At 50.5% G+C, this 4,394-nt stretch overlaps 2 annotated features.

The window, feature by feature from the left end:
• Window positions 583-1,118: an enhancer, noted in NCBI's record as "H3K27ac-H3K4me1 hESC enhancer chr6:111941387-111941922 (GRCh37/hg19 assembly coordinates)". NCBI's record gives its function as "activates a minimal SCP1, AML or CMV promoter by ChIP-STARR-seq in primed H9 embryonic stem cells {active_cell/tissue: H9 hESC(primed)}" and the evidence as "EXISTENCE:reporter gene assay evidence [ECO:0000049][PMID:30033119]".
• Window positions 3,951-4,151: a silencer, noted in NCBI's record as "peak6038 fragment used in MPRA reporter construct". NCBI's record gives its function as "represses an SCP1 promoter by STARR-seq MPRAs in K562 erythroleukemia cells {active_cell/tissue: K562}" and the evidence as "EXISTENCE:reporter gene assay evidence [ECO:0000049][PMID:32103011]".

Raw genomic sequence — 4,394 nt, forward strand, 5'->3', positions numbered from 1 at the left:
AACCTCCACCTCCCGGGTTCAAGTGATTCTCCTGCCTCAGCCTCCTGAGTAGCTGGGATTACAGGCACCCACCACCATGCCCAGCTAATACAGTTTGAATATTTTACAAGAAATACTACCTGGCATTTGGATGGGAGGCAAAGCTGTGCTAATAACCCCTGGGAAGTAGGTGGTGTTTGTCTCACTCTCCTTTTCTTTCTTTTTTTTTGTTTTTTGTGGAGACAGAGTCTTGCTCTGTAACCCAGGCTGGAGTGCAGTGGCACGATCTCAGCTCACTGCAACCTCCGCCTCCTGGGTTCAAGTGATTCTCCTGTCTCAGCTTCCTGAGTAGCTGGGATTACAGGCACCTGCCACCACACCAGGCTAATTATTTTGTATTTTTATTAGAGGCGGGATTTCACCATGTTGGTCAGACTGGTCTTGAGCTCCTGACCTCAGATGACCACCCGCCTTAGCCTCCCAAAGCACTGGGATTACAGGCGTGAGCCACGGCGCCTGGGCAGGCTCCTTTTCATTCATCGATTCCCTTCAGCAGTTCCGGGCTCCCTTCCTGTAGGACACCATTCTCCCAAGATACCCTCTTGCAGAGGGGCTGCCTGCTCTGTCCAGCCTCCTCCAGGCCTCTGCCAGCAGGCCCTTTGCCCTCCTTGCCCTTGCCCTTTCCTGCCCCAGATCTGGCCAACTCTCTGCCTTCCAAGTGCACACTGGCTGCACCACACCCTCCCCAGGCTCAGAGGCTGCAGGGTAGGAAACAGAAGCTTATGCAACTTACCCAAGGCCACAAGGCTACAGGTGGGGAGCTGGGATTTTAACCCAGGCAGGCTGACTCCAGGGTGTGGGCTCTTTGCCCTGAATCCTCCAGCCTTCAGGGCTCACCCTTCCTTTAACAAACAGATAAAATGTCTCAAGTCCATCTCCTACATCCTGTGGGAAGTCCAGCAGCCTCCCCTGCCTTTCTAAGGCATCTTGGGAGGTGGGGGTGGTTATATTCTCCTGGTTACTACTATCTGAATTCTTCATCCCTTCAAGTCTTGTTGCCGCCAGCATCTGCTGTCCTCTCTCCCCTTCCCTCACCCAAGGCATGAGCATTCTCCTTCTTCCTTCGTTCCCCCAAGCATACCTCAACCAAGCCAATCCCTGGAAATGTGTTCTTAAGGACTGGGGAGGTTTGGTAATAATAGAGGGTCACTATTCATAGCAGTGATCAGGAAAGGGCTGAAAATTCCAAATGAGGCCTCACTGTCCTGCAGGCCCACCTCTACATCCACAGGGATGGACAGGAGCACAAATGGAGACCTCAACCCTCACCTTCTCCCCCATTCTCTTCCCAAGAACAGCTCCATCCTGCACATGAAGGACGTCACATGTGAACTCTGTACTGCCTGCTTTGGGATCGGGTCATTCCCTGGTCCATGGCGTGGGAGAGGCTCCAGTGGATGTACCTCATTGGCCCCACGCAGTGGTGCTGGCTAGGACAGGCTCTTGGGCACCAACTCTGCGCATCTTCTAACTCCACTTTCAGGCACATCACAATGGTAGCTTGAAATCAGTGATGGTGGGAATATTTACACTATGGAAATTGGCAAACACTGCAAATCAGATTTTTATTTTCCTGGGGAGCTGTTTTGCCAGCACACCACTGTGCCATGGATGCCTCACCCCATGCACACGGGCACAGCCAGAGAAAGGCCAGATCAAAGCTCTCCAAGGCAGTGGTTCTTAGATTTTGCTGCATAATAGAATCGCCTGAGAGATCTAGCAATTGAGAAATCAGTGTTGTAAAGAGTTTCCCAGGGAATCGCAATGCACAGCCAAATTGCAGACCAATGCTCTAAAACATCTCTTCGCAAAATTTAGCATAAAGGCCGGGCGTGGTGGCACACGCCTATAATCCCAGCACTTTGGGAGGCCAAGGCAGATGGATTGCTTGAGGTCAGGAGTTTGAGACCAGCCTGGCCAACATGGTGAAACCCCATCTCTACTAGAATACAAAAATTAGCCAGGCATTGGTGGCAGGTGCCTGTAATCCCAGCTACTCCAAAGGCTGAGGCAGGAGAATCACTTGGATCCTAAAGGCGGAGGTTGCAGTGGGCTGAGATTGCGCTGCTGCACTCCAGCCTGGGGAACAGAGTGAGACTCCATCTCAAACAAAACAAACAAACAAACAAAAAATTTAGCGTACATATAAATTGCCAGGGGGTCTTTTAAATGACAGATTCTAGTTCAGTAAGTCTGGGTGGTGCCTGGGAGTCTGCATTGCTAAGAAGCTCTCAGGTGCTACTGATGCTGCTGGTCTCTGGATCATAATCTGAGTAACAAGGGTCTAAAGCACAGGGCCTAAGGGTGGTACTCCTATTCTGAGGAACTTCAGCTTTGCAGCTCACGGGGAATTTCTGGAGTTACTGTTCATGTTTTTGAGACAGAATCTCGCTTTGTCGTCCAGGCTGGAGTGCAGTGGCGCAATCTCAGCTCACTCCAACCTCCGCCTCCCGGGCTCAAGGGATTCTCCTGCTTCAGCCTCCCAAGTAGCAGGGATTACGGGTGTGTGCCGCCATACCTGGCTGTTTTTGGATTTTAGTAGAGATGGGGTTTCACCATGTTGGCCAGGCTGATCTCGAACTCCTGACCTCAAGTGATCTGCCCACCTCGGCCTCCCAAAGTGTTGGGATTACAGGCGTGAGCCACGGCACCTGGCCAGAGTTATCTTTCTTCTTAAACTCTGGCCTCAGCAATTTTTTTGGAGCAGAGTCTGGCCCCTTTTACCCTATTCTAGGTCATGGCAAACCGGTCTCCTTTGAAGCCTGAAGAAAATTCCCAAATTCTTGTCATCTCATTATGTAGATCCATTCTCCTTCCAGACAATGCCAGGCTGTGGGTATGGTGGAAAGAAGGCTCATCTTTCATAACCAAACAGGTGTTTTCTTAAACAAGCCCCTTTCCTTCTACTCCCCCCGCCCATCCGTCCTACACCTCTAGAATTCAGATGCACCACTACAATAATTTCTTTTTGTGTTGATTGTTTTCCTTTCCTGTTATATTGGTAAAGACTGGGGCTTAGTGTGGAGGGTCCTGATGCAAGTGTGAATGACCGGCAGCTCCAGGGCTACCTGCAGTGGCCCGTGTGGGGTGGGGACAAGGAGGGAGGACCTGCAATGAGGCGCCAGACTGGAGCAGCCTAGTGGTGAATCCCTCAGTCACACAAGCTAAGAGTTACCACCAGACTGTTGGCAAAAGAAGCAGAAGACACCTCAGAACTAAAACAATCGTGAATCTTTCATTGTTATGTAAAAACGTAACTAAAGACTAATAAAATGATACCCAATTCTTCCTACAGAGTATTGGGCTCAGTCACCATCAACAAATCTTTTGGTTTGTATTTATTTATTTTCTATTTTTTAGAGGCAGGGTCTTTCTGTGTTGCCCAGGCTAGCCTTGAACTCTCAGGTTCAAGCAATTCTCCCACCTCGGCCTCCCAAAGTGCTGGGATTATAGGCATGAGCCACCACACCTGGCTAACAAATCTTTTGTTACTCGAAGTCTTGAGTTAAAGAAACCTCCTCTGTGTTGATACAGATGGATACCTGGAGAGAGGTGACCCTACCTGCTCTCAGAATCAAGGTTCTGATGCCCACATGGTCTTACTGAGGCTGGCAGCCCCTTGGCGTGATGCTGTCGCAGTGAGGGGTGGTTATGTCTGAGTAAGGCCATACTCCAAGGCCGGTCTCTGCTCTGCGTGGCTCAGGGCTGGCCTGCCTCAGGAGAGACTCGTTTGGGGATGTTGCTCATAGTGATGGGAAGTTAGATCTAATCTAAGCTGTCCTGGTGTCTCCCAGCTCCCTGAAACTCACAGTCTTCTGTTTCATGGGCCATGTGTTCTGCCAGAACTTGTCTCAGAGGGGGTGAGTTTTGGTTATGGGCCTGTTGGAACATTTACTAAGCAGGGATTTCCTGCCTGGCACATGGTCCTGGGGCTTCACTTCAGCTCAGCCAGTGGCTCCTGTGTGCCTGTGCAAAGGCACGGTACTCTCAGGACAATCTGGAAAGCCCGAGTCCTCCCATTGTCTGGAATTGCCTTTTCCTTTCATAGCCACTCCAAGTCCCACCTCATTTCTGGTAGGATTTTTGAAGTGCCTCACAGCCACGGCACACTCTGACTACTGCTCTCACTGAATATGGGTGCTGCTCACCTCCCCGCCATTTGGAGAGTCCCTCCCCCACCTCCCTGTTGCTCCCATTCTTCCTATTTGCCCAAAGGGCCACTATCACAATTCTGTTCCACATAACATTTTAGGAACAATGGAGGGGAATTACAGTTCAGGGCACATGAAGTAAATATTTAAAATGGACTATGAGGCCGGGCGCAGTGGCTCACACCTGTAATCCCAGCACTTTGG

The sequence above is a fragment of the Homo sapiens genome, chromosome 6 (genome assembly GCF_000001405.40).
Source record: "Homo sapiens chromosome 6, GRCh38.p14 Primary Assembly".
NCBI lineage: Eukaryota > Metazoa > Chordata > Mammalia > Primates > Hominidae > Homo > Homo sapiens.